This window comes from Homo sapiens, chromosome 12, assembly GCF_000001405.40.
Source record: "Homo sapiens chromosome 12, GRCh38.p14 Primary Assembly".
NCBI classification, from domain to species: domain Eukaryota; kingdom Metazoa; phylum Chordata; class Mammalia; order Primates; family Hominidae; genus Homo; species Homo sapiens.
In genome coordinates this window covers 111,525,506-111,546,424 of record NC_000012.12, presented here as the reverse complement: position 1 = coordinate 111,546,424, position 20,919 = coordinate 111,525,506, and the positions used below count along the sequence as shown (strand labels likewise).

General features: G+C 41.5%; 1 protein-coding gene across 5 annotated transcripts in view; it reads left to right on the top strand.

Annotated features, from left to right (window-relative positions):
• Positions 1–20,919, top strand: part of ATXN2 (ataxin 2) — a 147,460-nt gene that overhangs the window by 53,249 nt on the left and 73,292 nt on the right. The gene's annotated exons all lie outside the window — the stretch shown is intronic.

The following is a 20,919-nucleotide window of genomic DNA, read 5'->3' as shown; positions in this document are numbered from 1 at the left end:
TCTATGGCTGTTTTGATGGCTGTAGCCATAGAGTTGAGTAGTTGTAGCTGACTGTAGGACTTGCAAAGCCAGAAAATTTGACTGTCTCTTTACAGAAAAGTTTGCCAGCTCTTGGCCTAAATCATATTTTCCGCTGCATTTAGGGCTTTTTAGGACTGATCAAAAATACATGCTATACTGGCTTTGGTGAAGTAACAGAATGTGCTCTGTCCTTTAAACTTACAACTAATTGCATGCTTTGATTCTAATACTGTATAATATCCTGCGATTCTTATTCATGACCATTCTAATTGGATTTAGTCTGAAGAATTACTTTTGCTTAACAGATTCTTTGTCACATTTAGTGAAAAATCATAAAAGGGGAAGGTTGGTTAATGGAAAAGATCTCCATCAACTAACCACTACCTTCCTTATCTACAAATTTATCTTCTTCCTCCGTGCCATCTTTTTTTTTTTTTTTTTCAGATGATCTTGCTCTGTTGCCCAGGCTGGAGTGCAGTGATGCAATCACAGCTCACTGCAGCCTCGACTTCCCAGGCTCAGGTGATCCTCTCACCTCAACCTCCTACATAACTGGGACTGTATGTGCACATCACTATGCCTGACTAATTTTTTATATTTATATTTTTTGTAGAGATGGGGTTTCCCTGTATTGCACAGGCTGGTCTCAAACTGCTGGGCCTAAGAGTCTTCCCACCTTGGCCTCCCAAAGTCCTGGGATTACATGAGTCACCGCACCCGGCCTCATTATTATTTTTCCTCTGGTTTTAGTAGAGAGGATTTTTAAGCCAACTTCAATCATGCCCTTGACTCTCTCCCTTCTACTTACCTCCTTGTTCTCTTTTTCTTTTTCTTTTTTTTTAGATGGAGTCTCGGTCTGTCACCCAGGCTGAAGTGCAGTGGCGTGATTTCAGCTCACTGCAGCCTCAGCCTCCTGAGTAGCTGGGGCTATAGGTGCCTGCCACCACGCCCGGCTAATTTTTGTATTTTTAGTAGAGATGGGGTTTCACCATGTTGGCCAGGCTGGTCTCGAACTCCTGACCTCAAGTGATCACCTGCCTCAGCCTCCCAAAGTGCTGGGATTACAGGCGTGAGCCACCACGCCTGGCCATCTTTTTTTTTCTCCTTGCTCTTTTATACCACTTCTCTGTTTCTGGGCTCTTCAACATCTGCCTTTCTAGTTAATCTTTCCCTTTAGCATGAAAACCTATTCACTTCCTGCTCATCCTAAAAAGGATTCTTTTTTGTTTTGTTTTGTTTTTGTTTTTGAGACAGAGTCTCGCTCTTGCCCAGGCTGGAGTGCAGTGGCACTATCTTGGCTCACTGCAAGCTCCGCCTCCCGGGTTCACGCCATTCTCCTGCCTCAGCCTCCCGAGTAGCTGGGACTACAGGCACCTGCCACCACGCCCAGCTAAATTTTTGTATTTTTAGTAGAGATGGGGTTTCACCGTGTTAGCTAGGATGGTCTCGATCTCCTGACCTTGTGATCCATCTGCCTCGGCCTCCCAAAGTGCTGGGATTACAGGCATGAGCCACCGCACTGGGCCCAAAAGGATTCTTTTTAATCCTGAATTCTTCTAGCCATTATCCTGCCTAAGGCTACGATTAACCTCTAACTGCCAGGTCCTTTGGAATCTTTTTCTGTCTTTATTGCTGCACTTGAATGTTGGTTTCACCCTCCTTCAGAATTTCCTCTTCTGTATTTTTTATGTTTATTGATCATTCCTTCCCTGCCTCATTCCTGGGCTTCTTTTCCTTCACACACCCCTTAGATGTGTGTCCCCAGTGTTTGTTTCTTTGCCTGCTGCTCTTGCCACATGACACACACTGCCAGCTACCACACACAAGTTCCCTCCTATCATGTGTGTATCATTGCCCTTATACCATGTTGTATTAAAATTATATGCTTGTCTCCCCTGTTACAGTTTGAGCTCTTTGTGCTCCAAGTAAAGACAGTGATACTGTCTTTATTATTTATTCTCATGGTCTAGTATAGTGCTTTGGCACATAGTACAGGCTCAATATAAATGTGTTTGAATAAATGAAATTCAGTGCCTTAATACACTTTTGTAGAAGCATTATTTTATGGAAAGAATGAAAAAGCTGTAAGTGGTCTTACATATATAGTCATCCAGCAGATACTTAGAGAGCTCTGGGATGTGTTCCTTGCTGTGCTTGTTGCTATGGACAGTACGGAGAAATACAAGAATCTATTTTGGGTCCCTTTTGAGAACCTAGTGAAACTGTGTACCTAGTGAAACTGTATACCCTCACCCTAGAAAAATTTACACACATGTAGATTTTACATGTAATTCTTTTAAAAATTAATTTTTTTTCTTTTTTTTAAAGAAACAGGGTCATGCTCTGTCACTCAGGCTGGAATGCAGTGGTGTGATCATGGCTTACTGTAGCCTCGACCTCCTGGCTCAAGCGACTCTCCCACCTCAGCCTCCCAAGTAGCTGGGGCTACAGGTGCACGCCGCTATGCCCGGCTAATTTTTAAAAATATTTTATAGACACTGGTTCTCACTATGTTTCCCAGGCTGGCCTTTACCTCCTGGGTTCAAGCAATCCTCTACCTTGGCCTTCAAAAGTGATGGGATTATAGGTGCAAGCCACTGTGCCCACGCTAATGTAATTTCATGGTGTTCACAGTTTCTTCAGGGAGTTCATATACGCCATGTACTCTATTCTAAGCATTTTTAGAGTTAGAGATAGCAAAGCACGTGAATAAATTCAAGAAAAATGGAATGTTGTACTGCATGACATTGAATATCAAATGGAGTCAGCGATGCAAATAATTGTCTAGATTTTACAAAAAAAATTAGCCTGGTGTGCTGGTGTGCGCCTCTAATCCCAGCTACTCGGGAGGCTGAGACAGGAGAATCATTTGAACCCAGAAGGTGGAGGTTGCAATGAGCTGAGATCGTACCACTGCACTCCAGCCTGAGTGACAGAGCGAGACTCCATCTCAAAAATAAAAAATAAAAGAATTGTGTAGATTTTAGTAGTTGGAAGAAGTTGGAGTGTTAATGTGTAATTAGAGAACAGTGAGAAATAAAATTCTACAGATTGTTTTATTCTGGTGTGCTGTTGTGTTCTCATATGGTTGTCTTTTTGGTCTTGATAGTGTATCAGTAACAGAGTACGAGTAACAAACAGGGATCTCTTCTGAACGGCGTGACATTAGAAAAGCTGTTTACGGCCTCAACTTTGCTGTGGTTTATTAAGACACAGATATGTGTTCATTCTGGGGCCAAGCAGTAACTGGAGAGTGGCACTTATTGAGGCCAGTATGGAGGCAGTACAGAGATTATTGAGATTAAAAGAAAGAAACAGGTGGAACGGATCTATGTAATGGAAAGCTAAACAGAATAGTTCGTGGTACACAGTAGAAAAGCATTACATGTTTATTAAGATATGGTCATCTTCCATTTATTAAAGTTACATGTTTTATAATTTTTAGAGTATATAGAAATTCTCTACCCTATCATGTTTGCCAAAGTCAGAACAATAACTTCATTTATTAAATATAAAAAAAATAAAAACCTCTAGCATAAAATAGAATTTTATTTGGACAAACGATAAAAAAATACTGTGTGGTACTAGTAAGAGTAAGGTTGATTCAAGATACATGGGAGCAGAATCCAAAGTGTAGAAATAGGCCAGGTGCAGTGGCTCATGCCTGTAATTTCAACACTTTTGGAGGCTGAGGCGGGAGGATGAGTTCAGGAGTTCAAGACTCGCCTTGGCAACTTGGCAAAACCCCATCTCTACAAAAAGTACAAAAATTAGCCGGGTGTGGTGGTGTACTCCTGTAAACCCAGCTACTTGGTGGGCTGAGGTGAGAGGTTCACTTGCAGCCAGTAAGTCAAGGCTGCAGTGAGCTGTGGTTATGCCACGGCACTCCAGCTGGGTGACAAGCAAGACCTTGTCTCAAAAACAAACCAGCCAGGCGTGGCGGATCACCTGAGGTAAGGAGTTGGAGACCAGCCTGGCCGACATGGCTCTACTAAAAATACAAAAATTAGCTGGGCGAGGTGACGGGCACCTGTAATCCCAGCTACTTGGGAGGCTGAGGCAGGAGAATCGCTTGAATCCAGGAGACGGAGTTTGCAATGAGCCGAGATGGTGGTGCTGCACTCCAGCCTGGGTGACAGAGCCAGACTCTGTCTCAAAAACAAAAATAAGCATAGGACATGGGGATAAATTGAAGATTTATGAAGACACAGCTGAAGGAGACATAAAAGTAGATTTGGCTAAATGGAAACATGCCATACTTTGAATGGAATTATTTAATACTACAACGTTGTCAATTTTCCTCAAATAAATCTCTAAAGATAATATATTCAGTTTTGGCCGGGCACGTTGGCTCACGCCTGTAATCCCAGCACTTTGGAAGGCTGAGGTGGGCCGATCACTTGAGGACGGGAGTTTGAGACCAGCCTGGCCAACATGGTGAAACCCTGTCTCTACTAAAAATACAAAAATCATCTGGACATGGTGGCAGGTACCAGCTACTTGGGAAGCTGAGGCAGGAGAATTACTCGAACCCCGTAGGTGGAGGTTGCAGTGAGCTGAGATTGCACTCCAGCCGGGTGACTCCATCTCAAAAAAAAAAAAATTTTTATAATATATATATATATATCCGTTTTTGTAGAAATTGACAAAATGATTCTAAAGCTTATTAGATTATGTGTATTAACAGAAGAACTTTGGAAATTTTTTTCCACAAGAGTCATAAAGGAGGACTTGCCCTACAAAATATGTCAGAATTAAAACATAACTTGTCAGCTGGGTGCGGTGGCTCACGCCTATAATTCCAGCACTTTGGGAGGCTGAGGCAGGCAGATCATGACCAGCCTGACCAACATGGAGAAACCCCGTCTCTACTAAAAATACAAAATTAGCCGGTCATGGTGGCGCATACCTGTAGTCCCAGCTACTCGGGAGGCTGAGGCAGGAGAATCGCTTGAACTCGGGAGGTGGAGGTTGCAGTGAGCCGAGATCGCGCCATTGCACTCCAGCCTGGGCAACAAGAGTAAAACTCTGTTTCAAAAAAAAAAAAAAAAAAAAAAGAATTATAACTGTCACAGTGGCTACGTATGGAGCATCCAAAACTGAATTTATGTGGGTATTTTATTAATATGCAATATAGCACTTTAATTCTGGAGGAAAGGTGGATTATTCAGTAAATGATTCTGGGACATTGGGGACAAATTAGATACCTACTTCACACTGATAAATAAAACCAAATAGATTAATGAGAAAACTGTGATTAAACAAAACAACACCCAGACTACACTGGAGCAAATCTGTGAATTTGTTTAATTTTGAGTGGAGAAGGACTTTATAAGCATGACTACCAGAGCAAAAAAATCATGAAGTAAAAGATCGATACCTTTGATTATAAAGAGATTAAAGATTTAGGCCGGGTGTGGTGCTCACGCTTGTAATCCCAGCACTTTGGGAGGCCAAAGCGGGTGGATCACTTGAGGTCAGGAGTTTGAGACCAACCTGGTCAACCTGGTGAAACCCCATCTCTACTAAAAATACAAAAAAATTAGTCAGGCATGGTAGCACATGCCTGTAATCCCAGCTACTCAGGAGGCTAAGGCAGGAGAATTGCTTGAATTTGGGAAGTGGAGGTTGCAGTGAGCCGAGATTGTGCCACATCACTCCAGCTTGGGCGACAGAGTGACTCCATCTCAAAAAAAAAAAAAAAAAAGACTTAGACGTGTCCAAAAGTACCATACATTTAAAAAGACATGCCACAAACTGGGAAAAGTAGAAAAATAGTTTTAAAAATGACCAGTGAATGTATGAAAAGGTGGCCCTCCTCACTTGTAATGATTTAAGAAATGCAGTTTATTTTTATTTTATTGTATTTTTAAAGAAATTCAGTTTTAAAGCAGTGGAATATGATTGTCTATCAGCTTGCGCTGAATGGTAAATGTGAGAAAGATTACTACTACTTAGTGGTACTGAGGGAGTTGCAAAACACTTAACACTGCTAGTGGGATGGTTTAAGTAAAACAAGTAGCATTCTTAAACTCTCTATTAGGTAAAGAATAGGTAAGTAATGCATATGTTTCCAGGACATTTTCAGTAAGACTGTTTACTGATAGGGTTGTGTAATGCTAATATACTTACTATCTAGTTTTAGTATTATTTTTTTCTCTTGTCTTGGATGGTTTCAATGGAGTCTTATGCATGCAGATATATTAAAACTAGTAATAAAGCAAGAGAAGGAATGTGGATAAATTATCTCTAATTTCTATTTTGTTCTATTTCTATTTCATACTCCTGGGAAAGAATATTAAGTGGGCATGTGTACTTGAACAGTTGTTCTGTTTTTTATTAGAAAAGAATCCGAATCTATAAAATGTTTTACATATTTGCCAGGGAAACAGAAAAGATATTTGTACAGCTGTAAGAATTGGAATTAATTTCATTTTACTGACTTTTCCTTAACCTAATTCTGAACACTTTTGCCATAGGTTTGAGAATAAGTTGTTATAAAATGACTACTATTCTTCACTAATAGTATTGGCATTTCAATTCCTAAATTCTGTTTTTTGATTCTTGAACATTTCTGAATTTACTTTTTTTGTCTTAGTTCTTCTACAGAATCATTTTCTTCTTTTTTCTTTTTTTATTTTTATTTTTTATTTTTGAGACAGAGTCTTGCTCTGTTGCCCAGGCTGGAGTGCAGTAGCGCGATCTCGGCTCACTGCAAGCTCCGCCTCCCGGGTTCATGCCATTTTCTCCTGCCTCAGCCTCCCGGGTAGCTGGGACTAGAGGTACCCGCCACAGCGCCCGGCTAATTTTTTGTATTTTTAGTAGAGACGGGGTTTCACCGTGTTAGCCAAGGTGGTCTCAATCTCCTGACCTCGTGATCCATCCGCCTCGGCCTCCCAAAGTGCTGGGATTACAGGCATGAGCCATCGCACCCGGCCTTCTTTTTTTCTTTCTCTTTAACTTCTGAGCTGAAAATAGTACCTTTTATAAAGAAGTGCTCAAACGATGATTGGACTGATTTCTCCTTATTTCTCTCTTTCTCTCTGTCTCTTTCACTCTCTTTTTAGAATTTTTCTTTTTTAAGTAGAGACGAGGTCCCACTATGTTGCCCAGGCTGTCTTGAACTCCTGAGCCCAAGCAATCCTCTTTGCCTCAGCCTCCCAAAGTGCTCGGATTACAGGCTTAAGCTATCACACCAGGCCTAGGCTAATTTCATATTTTGAGATGGCACAAATTTCTTTCAGGTAGCTAGCTTTTCCTCCTCCTCCCCACTTAAAATAGATCCTGATCCAGAAGCCTAATGGAGAAAATGAAAACAGAATGTTCACCCATAAACAGTATCTTTGTATTGGAATCTTTTCTAAAACTTCTTTTGATCTTTTTAGGAGATAGTGTGGGAATCAGCAATCTAGTATTACGTACGTGGAATCTGTCACCTTGTTTTTTTAAATACAGCAAACCTCATGAAGTGAATTTCCATATTTTTTCTTGTTCTTGTTAGTTTTGCACCACTCAGGCTTTGCTGTAGAATTTGATGTATATTTGATTCTGTAGAGCATGGGCTATTGATCTTCACTCAGCTTTCAGAGGAATCTGATTAGTAAGTTTGAGTTTTTTATTATTTTTTAGTTGATTTTGAAGTAAAATACAGCACCATTTTAACTGATACCATTTCTAAACAATTTTCAGTTCAAATTTTAAGTTAGCTAATTTAGAGCTTAAGAAAATTGCTTTAAAAACATAAAATTACTGGCTGGGTACAGTGGCTCATTCCTGTAATCTCAGCACTTTGGGAGGCCAAGGCAGATGAATTGCTTGAGCCCAGTAGTTCAAGACCAGCCTGGGCAATATGGTGGAACCCCGTTTCTACAAAAAAAATACAAAAAGTAGCCAGACACGGTGGTATGTACCTGTAGTCCCAGCTATTCGGGTGGCAGAGGTGAGAGGATCATCTGAGCGCAGGGAGATTGAGGCTGCAGTGAGCCAAGTGAGACCCTGGTTTCAAAAAAAAAAAGGTTACTAATTGCAGTGCCTTTTATCTTATTTAATGGGCTTAGTCAAACTAAGATGATGTATTTTATCTTATAAATGTTTTCCCTTGAATTTTAACTGAAGAATCCAATTTGTACCTCTCACAAACAGAATGTATTAGTAAGGAAAATAAATACTGCTTTTTATTACTTAAATAGGATATATTTTTCTCTTAGGGATTTTTTTTCTATTTTATCTCACTTTATCGTAGTGCTAGAAAATTTAATCATTCATTTGAGATAGGGAGAAAATTAGGTTTTTTTTTTTCTTCTATTTTGAGACAGGGTCTCATTTTGTTGTCCAGGCTGGAGTGCAGTGGCGCCATCGTAGCTCACCATAACCTCAAACTCATGGGTTCAGGTGATTCACCTTAGCCTCCTGATTAAGCTGGGACTGCAGATGTGTATCACCACTCCTGGCTAATTTTTGTTGTTATTTTTTGTTTGATGAGGTCTCATTATGTTGCCCAGGCTGGTCTCAAACTCTGGGCCTCAAATGATCCTCCTGCCCCAGCCTCCCAAAGTGCTGGGATTACAGGCATGAACCTCTGCTCCCAGCCCATTTTTTAAAATATATTCACAGCATTGTGCAACCATCACTACAATCAATTTACATTTTCATCACCCTGAAAAGAAACTCTGAACCCCTTAGCAGTTCCTCTCTGTTTGTTTCAATTTTCCCCAGCTCCAGGCAACTATTGATTTATTGTCTTCATAGGTTTGCCCATTCTGGACATTGCGTATTAATGGAATCATATAATATATAGCCTTTTTTTTTCTTTTTTTTTTTTGAAACAGAGTCTCACTGTGTCGCCCAGGCTGGAGCGCAGTGGCATGATTGCAGCTCACTGCATCCTCTGCCTCCCAGGTTGAAGCGATTCTCCTGCCTCAGCCTCTTGAGTAGCTGGGACTATAGGCGCCTGCCACCACACCTACTAATTTTATATTTTTAGTAAAGACGGGGTTGCACCATGTTGGCCAGGCTGGTCTCGAATTCCTGACCTCAAGTGATCTGCCCACCTCGGACTCCCAAAGTGCTGGGATTGCAGCCATGAGCCACCGCATCTGGCCATATATATTATGATAGGCTTGTTTCACTTAGTATGTTTCTTCCATGCTGTAGCATGTATTAGTACTTCTTTCTTTTTCATGGCCAAATATTCCATTATACAGTTACACAGGTACACTACATTTTGTTTATTCATCAGTTGGTGGACATTTTCATTGTTTCCACCTTTTGATTTATACATAATCCTGCTGCGAACAGTGACTTTTAAAGTTTTTGTGTGGGCCGGGTGTGGTGGCTCATGCCTCTGTAATCCCAGCACTTTGGGAGGCTGGGGCTGGCAGATCATTTGAGGCCGGGAGTTCGAGACCAGCCTGCCCAACATGGTGAAACCCTGTCTCTACTAAAAATACAAAAATGAGCTGGGTGTGGTGGCGTGCACCTGTAATCTCAGCTACTAGGGAGGCTGAGGCAGAGAATCACTTGAAGCTGGGAAGCCGAGGCTACAGTGAGCCGAGATCACGCCACTGCACTCCAGCCTGGGTGACAGAGTGAAACTTCATCTCAAAAAAAAAAAAAAAAAAAAAAAACTGCGTGTGGACATAGGTTTTCAATTCTCATGGGGGTGTGTGTGTATGCATACTCATACATACATACACATACCTGCAAGATAATTGCTGGCTCGTATGCTAAATCTATGTTGAACCTTTTACATAACTGTTGGGCTGTTTTGTTTTCTTTTTATTATTTTTTGAAAATAGAGTTGGGGTCTCACTGTTGCACAGGCTGATTTCCTGGGCATAGTGGCTGTATCATTTTACAATCCTACATAGCTGTTTCCAACGTAGCTGTATCATTTTACAATCCTACTAGCAGTGTCTGAGGTTTCTTATGTTTTTCACATCCTCACCAGCATTTGTTATTGTCTGTCTCTTTGATTATACCCATCCTAGTGGGAGAGTAAGAAGTAGTATCTCACTGTAGATTTTTTTTTTCTGTTTACAACTTTACTTTAAAAATTATATATGCACACATGGTAAAAAGTTCAAAACGTGTGTACCAAAAGATTTAACAGTGAAAATAGAAAATAAGTGTGGTCCTTGTTTTCTTCCACCAAGGCAAATATTGTTATAATCTCCTAAACAACTTGTCTTCCAGATTTCTCATTTTCAGTCAATCTTGGGCATTGACATAAAGAAATTCTTAGACATTGCTTTTATTAGATCATCTCATCCCTTGCTCAAAATCTTCAGTGGCCACTGTTGTTTACAGAATAAAGTTGGGATGCTATACAGGGCCCTTCCCAGTGGAACTTCTCTTTTTCAACCTTATCTCTCATTATTTCCCAATGTTTTTTTTTTTTTTTTTGAGACGGAGTCTCGCTCTGTCGCCCAGGCTGGAGTGCAGTGGCGGGATCTCGGCTCACTGCAAGCTCCGCCTCCTGGGTTCACGCCATTCTCCTGCCTCAGCCTCCCAAGTAGCTGGGACTACAGGCGCCCGCCACTACGCCCGGCTAATTTTTTGTATTTTTAGTAGAGACGGGGTTTCACCGTTTTAGCCGGGATGGTCTCGATCTCCTGACCTCGTGATCCGCCCACCTCGGCCTCCCAAAGTGCTGGGATTACAGGCGTGAGCCACCGCGCCCGGCCTATTTCCCAATGTTAATCTACTTATTGACCTACTAAGCTGGCATGTTCTGTGTGTTAGACATCACCAACTTTGTGCCTTCTTTTTTTGTTTGTTTTTGAGTTGGAGTCTCACTCTGTTGCCCAGGTTGGAGTGCAGTGGCGCGATCTTGGCTCACCACAACCTCTGCCTCCCGGGTTCCAGTGATTCTCCTGCCTGAGCCTCCCGAGAAGCTGAGACGACAGGCGCGCGCCACCATGCCCTGCTAACTTTTGTATTTTTAGTAGAGATGGGTTTCACTGTGTTTCCCAGGCTGGTCTCGAACTCCTGACCTTGTGATCCACCTGCCTTGGGCTCCCAAATTGCTGGGATTACAGGCGTGAGCCACCGCGGCCCCCTGTGCCTTCTTCTTTTACTCCTGGATTTAATCCCAACGTGAAGAATCTACCTTACTAACTAGAGTTTTAGATACTTTTTCAAAACCAAGCCCACATCTGTCCTTTTTAGAGTCTTCTCTGACCTTCCCTGCTCATTGTGGTTTGTTTTTATTGCCTGTAACAATGGCTGTTAAACTTTACATTTTAAATTAATTTATGTTTGTATGTATTTATTTGTTGAGAAAGGGTCTCTCTCTGTCACCCCTACTAGAATGCAGTGGCGCCATCATGGCTTACTGCTTCCTGGGCTCAAGCTGTTCTCCCATTTCAGCCTCCCCATGCACCACCCTACCTGGCTAATTTTTTTGTTTGTTTTTTTTAGTTTAGTTTTTGTAGAGACAGATGTCTCACTGTGTTGCACAGGCTGATCTTGAACTCCTGGGCTCACTTGATCCTCCCATCTCAGCCTCCCCAAGTGCTGGGATTACAGGTGTGAGTCACCATGCCCAGACTTTAACATTTTCTTTTTAGTATAGAATAGGTCAGTTTTTTTCCCTCTGATGAGATCCCATGCTGACTCTTAGTTAAAACAAGGCTTTGGTTGGAAGAAGAGCTAGTGATGTCCTAGCTCCCTACTTACTCCACTTTCCCTTGCCTTCTGGGGTGTCCTGAAGACATCATAGGGTGTCATGAAGTACAGTTGGAGAACCAGTGGTCTCCATCATGTACCAAACACTCATCTTCACGAAGCAGTATGTAGTGTCTTTTTTACCGGTATATTTTCTCTCTCCCAATGCATTAAACTTTTCTGGAGTTCAGAAAACAAATTTATAGAATTAAGGAAATGCGTCCCCCCCAACCATGGTGTCTAGTATATATACAGTGACTTACAGATAACAGGTGTTCAACATATATATATTCCTTTGATTGATTTTTGAAAAGTTTACATGTATATATTTTTTATATACGGGGTCTCACTCTATCACTGAGGTTGGAGTGTGGTGATGCAGATCTTGGCTCACCGCAACCTCCTCCTCCCAGGCTCAAGTGATTCTCCCACCTCAGCCTCCCGAGTACCTGGGACCACAGGTGCGCATCACCATGCCTGGCTAATTTTTTATATTTTTGGTAGAGACAGGATTTTGCCGTGTTGCCCAGGTTGGTTTCGAACTCCTGAGCTCAGGCAGTCCACCTGCCTTGGCTTCCCAAGTGTGAGCCACCACTGAAATACTTATATTTTTAAACTTAATTTATTTATATTTATTATATTTTTATGTTTTTATATTTTAAAAAATATTTTTATACTCACTAGACCCAATTTTATACTCCTAAACCAGGGAATAACTGTTTTTTTTTCTCTTACATAGGCATGATACCATAGACAATGATTAAAATTGTAATTACCATTCATTTCTTAGTTTTGTGGCTGGGACACTGATGTCTTCAAATGTTAGTTTGCAAATACAGTCAGCCCTCTCTATCCATGGGTTACACAGCTGTGAATTCAACCAACCATGGATCCAAAATATATGGGAAATACGCTGGGGCTGTGGGTCACACCTGTAATTCCAGCACTTAGGGAGGCTGAGGCAGATGGATCACCTGAGGTCAGGAGTTCAAGACCAGCCTGGCCAACATGGCAAAACCCTAGCTCTACTATAAGTACAAAAAATTAGCTGGCCATGGTAGTGCACATGTGTAATCCCAGCTACTCGAGAGGTTGAGACAAGCAATTTGCTTGAACCTGAGAAGTAGAGGTTTCCATGAGCTGAGATTGTGTCACTGCACTCCAGCCTGCGCAACAGAGTGTGAGAAGAAAAGAAAAAAAACTGTCTGAAAAGAAAAAAAAAAATTATATGGGAAATCAAAAGCATCTATACTGAACATGTACAGACTTTTTTTCTTGTCATTATTCCTTAAGCAGTACCACAACTATTTCCGTAGCATTTACTTTGTATTAGGTATTATAGGTAACCTAGAGGTTTAAAGTATGCGAGAGTATGCAAATACTACACCACTTTGTATCAGGGACTTAAGCATCCCTGGATTTTGGTATCCCTAGGGGGTATTAGAACCAATCCCCCATAGATGCTGAAGGACAACTGTAGTGTGTGTTGGAATAATTTATTTTCAAATGGATCATTTGGAGAACACTATTCTTTAGGAAACATAGCCTCCTAAGTTCTGTTCCATACATCCCTTTCACCTCCACGGCGTTGTAGCATCCTGCTTTCATGACTGTGTCATCACTCGGAAGGAACTGCTTCTCTTCCAGAATGCTTTTCAAGATCTACTCTGACCACAGCTATAAACTTTACACTTCTATTCTCTTCTTGCCCCTCACAGTGTTCTCTGTTCCTCTAAGATCTTAAACTCTGTCTACTCCTAATCCAGCCTGCTGGGTGTGGCTGGAGAAAGTCCCACTGGGGGGCTGATTAGTTAGGAATGTAGGGTTTCCAGCTCTTGCTGGAGCCTCAGAAGAGTTCAGCAGACTTTTTTTTTTTTTTTTTTCCTTAAACCTATTTCTGCAGCCTTGATGACCACTCCTTCCAGTCCCTCACCTATTTGCTTTATTCATGGCAGAGGCTCTTTCTTCCTGCTTGTCAGTACAAAGAGGCAGGATTCTTCACCTGGATCTGTGGATTCTCAAAGAATTTGTGGAGAGAATTCAGGGCATTGATGACCTTGGATGAAGAGAAATTTACATCTTTATTTACACTAACCTTCAAGTGAAATTTAGCATTTTTTGCCATTTAAAAATATGGGCAACAAACAACTAGTAGTATTAGCAGTATTTATGACTTAAGCACCTATAGAACTCAGTTAATTTCATATCGCTTGATGTTATGGGTATCTCAAATTATTATTTTATGTATATATATTTTTGAGATGGAGTCTCGCTCTGTCTCCCAGGCTGAGTGCAGTGGTGCAGTCTCAGCCCATTGCAACCTCTGCCTCCTGGGTTCAAACGATTCTCCTGCCTCAGCCTCCTGAGTAGCTGGGATTACAGGCGCACACCACCACGCCTAGCTAATGTTTGTATTTTCAGTAGAGAAGGGGTTTCACCATATTGGCCAGGCTGGTCACCAACTCCTGACCTCAAGTGATCCGCCTGCCTTGGCTTCCAAAGTGCTGGGATTACAGGTGTGAGCCACCGCACCCGGCCTCAAATTATTTTTAGAAACAGAATCTTGATATGGTATCCGCTCTGGCCTTGAACTTGTGGGCTCAGGCAGTCCTCCCACCTCAGCCTCCTGAGTAGCTGGGATTATAGGCATGTGCCACTGCACCAGGCTTCAAATTATTATGTATGTTCATCACCTCTTTAAATTTATAATAGTTATTAAACCTGTTACTGGATCTTAATATTTAATGCTTTAATTAAGAACATGTATGTTACTATGCCAACAGATTTTTTTAGTTTTTGATAACTGCATTTCATTGTTACTTGTTCTCATTTGATTTCCTGTGTATTTTACGAATTTAAGTACATTCTGAATACGGTTTCATAGGCTTCCCTAAAATATTGAAGGGGCCCATGGATTAAGAAAAAGGCTAAGAATCCCTAATCTAGAGGCTCCCCACAGTCCTCTTTTGTCATCATACCCCTACCCCATTCTAGCCTGAGGAGCGTGGCTCCACCTGTGCCCTTGGTTTTGTTGTTCCAGTCCATACATCCTGCACCCTTAACTGTGTTTCTTATCCCCAACTTGTTTCTTTGTGTTATTCTTCAGTATTATAGTCTTTAATATAATCTGTATAATACATGGTGTAGTAGTATATGCTCGTAGTATACAATTCAGTTAGAACAGATGAGTATTCAATGAAAAGATAATCTCCTCTCTAACCCCCAGTCCCACTTCCCTGGGGAAGCCTGTGTTCTTGTGTACAATTCAGAAAATGTTTATACACATATTTTTTATTTATTTATTTTTTGAGACGGAGTCTCGCTCTCGCCAGGTTGGAGTGCAGTGGCGCAATCTTGGCTCACTACAACCTCCGCCTCCCTAGTAGTTCAAGCAATTCAAGGTTCAAGCAATTCGCCTGCCTCAGCCTCCCGAGTAGCTGGGACTATAGGCGTGTACCACCACGCCTACCTAATTTTTGTATTTTTAGTAGAGACAGGGTTTCACCATGTTGGCCAGGATGGTCTCGATCTCTTGACCTCATGATCCACCCGCCTCAGCCTCCCAAAGTGCTGGGATTACAGATGTGAGCCACTGTGCCCAGCCTGTTGATTTAATTTTAAACAGAGTTTCGCTCTTGTTACCCAGGCTGGAGTGCAATGGTGCGATCTCGGCTCACCGCAGCCTCTGCCTCCCAGGTTCAAGTGATTCTCCTGCTTCAGCCTCCCGAGCAGCTGGGATTACAGGCATGCACCACCATGCACAGCTATATTTAGTAGAGATGGGGGTTTCTCCATGTTGGTCAGGCTGGTCTCGAACTCCGGACCTCAGGTGATCCGCCCGCCTCGGCCTCCCAAAGTGATGGGATTACAGGCGTCAGCCACTGCACCCCGCCTATACACATTTTTTTGTTTTTTGTTTTTTTGAGATGGAGTCTCGCTCTGTTGTCCAGGCTGGAGTGCAGTGGCGCGATCTCTGCTCACTGCAAGCTCTGCCTCCCTGGTTCACACCATTCTCCTGCCTCAGCCTCCCGAGTAGCTGGGATTACAGGCGCCGGCCACTACGCCCATCTAACTTTTTGTATTTTTAGTAGAGATGGGGTTTCACCGTGTTAACCAGGATGGTCTTGATCTCCTGACCTCGTGATCTGCCTGACTGGGCCTCCCAAAATGCTGAGATTACAGGCGTGAGCCACCGCTCCCAGCTATACACGTATTTTTAATGCCACTCCAGTCTATGTTGGAACCATTTTACTTCCCCTTTCTTATTTTCTTCTTGTGTTCTTGAAGGCCTAGATCAGCTGTTGCTGATAGGCTGTCACTGTCACTTTAGAAAGCCCAGAGCCTTTTGTTCCTTAGAACTTTGTTTTTAATTGTATTGTAGCACTCATTGTATTCGATTCTAAAAGATTTGCTTCATTTCTGTAACTAGTCTCTTACACCCAGGAGCTCCTAGTTCCTACAGGAAATGCTGGGAATTGTATCAGTCAAATGTGAATCCCCACCTCGTCCAGACTTATGAGTGCATTGTAGGTACTCAGTAAGTGCTAAAAATGACTAAATAGTCCCACTGATACCAATCTATATACTGATACTTTATATAGTATATAGATTGGTCCACATATAACGATGACACATAATGAGAAACTGTCTTAAAAAGTTGTTGAAAGTGCCGCAGGAATAGGAATTGATCAAAACAATATGATTTTTTAGGTTTATATGGAACTTTGATGTTTGAGAAAAGGCTGATTTAGTTGAGAAGAAATGGTTAGCTGAGGATTTTGATGACTTCTCTGGAAGCACATTTGAGGGTTTGTGATGTTAAATCTGATGTTAATGATTATTTCATCCAGTTTTATGTCATTTTATAGTTTTTATACATTTAAGTATATTTATTTCTAATGTTTAACACTACCATTTTAGTTATTTGACCATTATTCTGGCCCTTTAAAAAATGCTCAGACAAGTTTGAATGATTTTTCAGAGGCATTATTGGCTCAGAGGTAAAAGAGGAAAGATTGAGAAGCTGAATATGTACTCTGTTTCCTGGGTATGGGGCTGGGGATACCCAGAAGAGGTTCACACGTTGGTCGAGACATTTCTTTATGACCACCAGCAGGTGGCATCACCGGCCCAAAATGACTAAGTTTCTGCCCAGAATCAGAAGAGAAGGTGTTGAGAGCCCACTGCTGTGGGGGTAGCATGGAGGTGGGATACAGGGGCTGGAGGTGATACAATTTTGTTTCTTCCTCCAACATCGCCTGCTAGTCTAGAGGCTTTTATAAATTGAAAAACTAATTCTTTATCATCTCATCTGATGGTTTTTATGTTTTTCCTTTTTTCTCTCTATACCTGTAGTTCCTTCAGAAACAGGTAACACTTTTCTAATAGTCACGTTGTATTCTTGCATCTTGTTGTTACAATGCTTTTGTTTCTCACCATAGGGGATGATGGAAAATTAATATTCTTTGACTTATGGCATTGGTAAAATCTGCATGCAAATTCCCACAGTTGCCTGTAGATTAGAGCCAGTTGTTTTTTTCTCAACTTTGCAGGAATCCTGGTTACAACATTGTACTATTTACTACCAACAGTGTTTTTTTTTTTTAAAATCCAGACTTGCTGGGCATAGTGGCTCATGCCTGTAATCTCAGCGACTTGGGAGGCTGAGGTGGGAGGATTGCTTGAGCCCAGGGCTGCAGTGATTGCGGCACTACACTCCAGCATGAGTGACAAAGACCCCATCTCTGAAAAAACAAAAACAAAAACAAATTTTTTTTAAAGAAACAGAAACAAAAATCCAAACTTGTAACCACTGTAAAACAAATCAGAATTTACGATAGTGGATATTATTAATAGTGCAGAATGGATACCCAGATCTTGCTTCCTTTCTAGCTAATGATGCAATGTTGGCCTGAAATGCATTACTTATAGCCAGGGATTTTCTCAGCATCCTGATGATATAGCCTCATTTCGTGCTAACTCTCCACTTCTGCACATCTTCCCCTAAGTCCTTTACTCATCTTTAGAAAGAGCTACTTTTGGTGAAATTTTAAAACCAAGGAATATCATTCTTTATAGAATCACACTTCTGTGTTTTCCCCTTCCCCATTTCTGTCTCGAAAGCGACAGACTGCTACATAACCTGTGAATACTTTTTTTTAAAAAAAGTTTGGTATTGTAAACAGAAGATTTAAGATTAAAATGTAGCATTGAGAAAAATAGATTTATTAATAATGCCCTCTTAACACAACCTAAATTCTGGTCAGTGGAATAAAGCCTGGGTCCTAAAGTTTTAGACGCTTGCTTGCTTTTCCACACTGGCTCTTACTTGGGGATCCTTTTAGAAATTTGTTTAGAATAATACTGTAAAAACATATTTAAGCTACTTTGTGTGTACATTTGGGATCTTTTGGTTTGAAGACGGCTTGACTCAAGACTTTCTAAATATTTTCACACACACACACATACCCTGTAGTGAGAAAAAAATCCGTTTATATGGTTCTATAAAAATCTCTAGCTGCTTCGAGCTTTAATTTCTTGAATCAAAAGAGTATTGTTTTTAATACTGAGCTTCTATCTAAATAAATGCTTTATTTACTTAAATGTGTGCTTTTCAAAAACTAGTATGATTAAGACATTAACAGGATCTTAGACGTAAAGGAACAGTCCTGTTGCTTCTTCCAGAAGATAATATGACTCGTTTGGAATTTTCCTATAGTGTAGTTTTTTGTCTAGTGTTGTGAGAATTAAAGGGATTTCAGGATCTTAAGGTAGGTTATTATTTGATGTTTTCTTGGAACATTTTACATTCTTGAAAATACACATGGCTAAATTAATTTTTGCCAGCAATCCACATAACTTTAAGATAATGTAGAGAAGAACGTGATTCAGGTTAGTATCAAATAAGGTCAGATTTCTAGTGCCATCAGTAGCTTTCAGCAAAGATGAGGTGTTGGTAAGATAGCATTAGTCTCTTAGAATCTCTTAGAGAGATTTTCCAAAATTCAGCCATTTCTAGTGAATGCTCCATTCCACCCCCAGCTGAGTCCTGCTGCTCTGGGGAACTCCCTCAGCACACTCTTGGCTCTTAGAATTGCTAGCAATGGGAGTAGTGCTGCTGGTGGAGCTGGCAGCTAAGCCCAGAGGTGGATTAATGCTTTTATTCCCTGATGTACAGGTACACACACTCATACCTACCCACACCTAGTTTGGGATAAGAAGAGGTTAGAATTAGCTAGGCTTGAAGTTCCATGCTTAAATTTGCTGGCTCAGATTTCTTATTTTGGCATCACTTTGCCCATTAGGGAGACAATGACAGTTATAGAAGCATTGCCAAATAAAAAATCCATCTGGAATAACCTCTTTTGTAGGAGTATTGTGTGTTTAGTTGTTGATTCGTCCCTTCCTCCTCTTAGTGGCAACTTACAGTACTGGGAAGGAACAGTGGCTGGGAGCTTATATTCCTCAGCAGAGCCAGATCAGCAGAAGTATTACTCCTTAGTTCGTAGTAGGTGGTACCCTATGGGTCCAGTCATTTAAATGCAAGCCTGTATCTACAGAGCGTTTCCTAGTGCCATCATTGCCCAGTGGGCCTTTATTTAGCTGAGTCTAACTCCCAACTAGAGAAAATTTCCTGTGCCAGACAGCAGTATGGTCAGCTAACATGTGGATGCTACATTTGCTTTCATAAGTCAGTACTCTTCAATAACATTAGTAGAAGAGAAGAGGACACAAAGTGAGAGTGTGTTAATAGGAAGTCCAGGTATGCCTGCTACCTGAACTTTCTGAGACAGGTAATACTGTAGGGCCTGAACTTTGTAGCAGAGTGGTTATATATGAAGAAGTGGGTTCTGGGAGGGGTTAAACCACTTAGAATGGCTTCATTTACTAATGGCAAGAGTTTGCTGGGATATTGACCACTGTACATAGACATGAATATGGAAAGTTAAAAACAAAATCCACATATATTTGGCTGCAAGTACTCCGAAGGTATATCTAATTAGTGCATCCATTAAACAAAAGAGATATTTTAGGCCGGGCATGGTTGCTCACACCTGTAATCCCAGCACTTTGGGAGGCCAAGGTGGGTGGATCACCTGAGGTCAGGAGTTCGAGACCAGCCTGGCCAACATGGTGAAACCCTGTCTCTGCTAAAAATACAAACATTAGCTGGGCGTGTTGGTGGGCGCCTGTAATCTTAGCTACTTGGGAGGCTGAGGCAGGAGATTCCCTTGAACCTGGAAGGTGGATGTTGCAGGGAGCCGAGATGGTGTCACTGCACTCCGGTCTGGGTGAAAGAGCAAGCTCCATCTCAAAAAAGAAAAAAAAAAAAAGAGATATTTTTGATGGATTGATAGAAATTTTCTTTTTCTTTTTTTTTTTGAGACAGGGTCTCACTCTGTCGCCAGGCTGGAGCACAGTGGCGTGATCTCCATTCATTGCAACCTCCACCTCCCGGGTTCAAACGATTCTCCTTCCTCAGCCTCCCGAGTAGCTGGGACTACAGGCATGTGCCACCATGCCCAACTAATTTTTGTATTTTTAGTAGAGAGAGGGTTTCACCATGTTGGCCAGGATGGTCTCGATCTCTTAACCTCATGATCCACCTGCCTGGGCCTCCCAAAGTGCTGGTATTACAGGCATGAGCCACCACATCTGGCCAGAAATTTTCTTGGTCACTTCTGAGACATGCAGAGTAATTACCTGTAATATAATTTAATGAATTATGTCAATATATTAAAATATGCTTCATGTGGGCTGGGCATGGTGGCTCATGCCTGTAATCCCAGCACTTTGGGAGGCCAAGGTGGGGGTATCACTAGGTCAGGAGATCAAGACCAGCCTGGCTAACACGGTGAAACCCCGTCTACTAAAAATACAAAAAATTATCCGGGCGTGGTGGTACACACCTGTAGTCCCAGCTACTCGGGAGACTGAGGCAGGAGAATCGCTTGAACCCGGGAGGCAGAGGTTGCAGTGAGCCGAGATCACGCCACTGCATTCCAGCCTGGGCAACAGAACGAGACTCTATCTCAAAAAAAAAAAAAAAATGCTTCGTGTGGCTTAAAATTATATGAAAAGAAAATACCTTTACTGATAGTCATCTGTGATTCCATTTGCTAAATTAAACGTGAAAGCATACTTTTACTGAATACTATATATTCCGTATCAGTTTAGATAGCAGTTTATCTTCACATACATAAGTTTTAAGTTTACCTTTATTATAGTGCA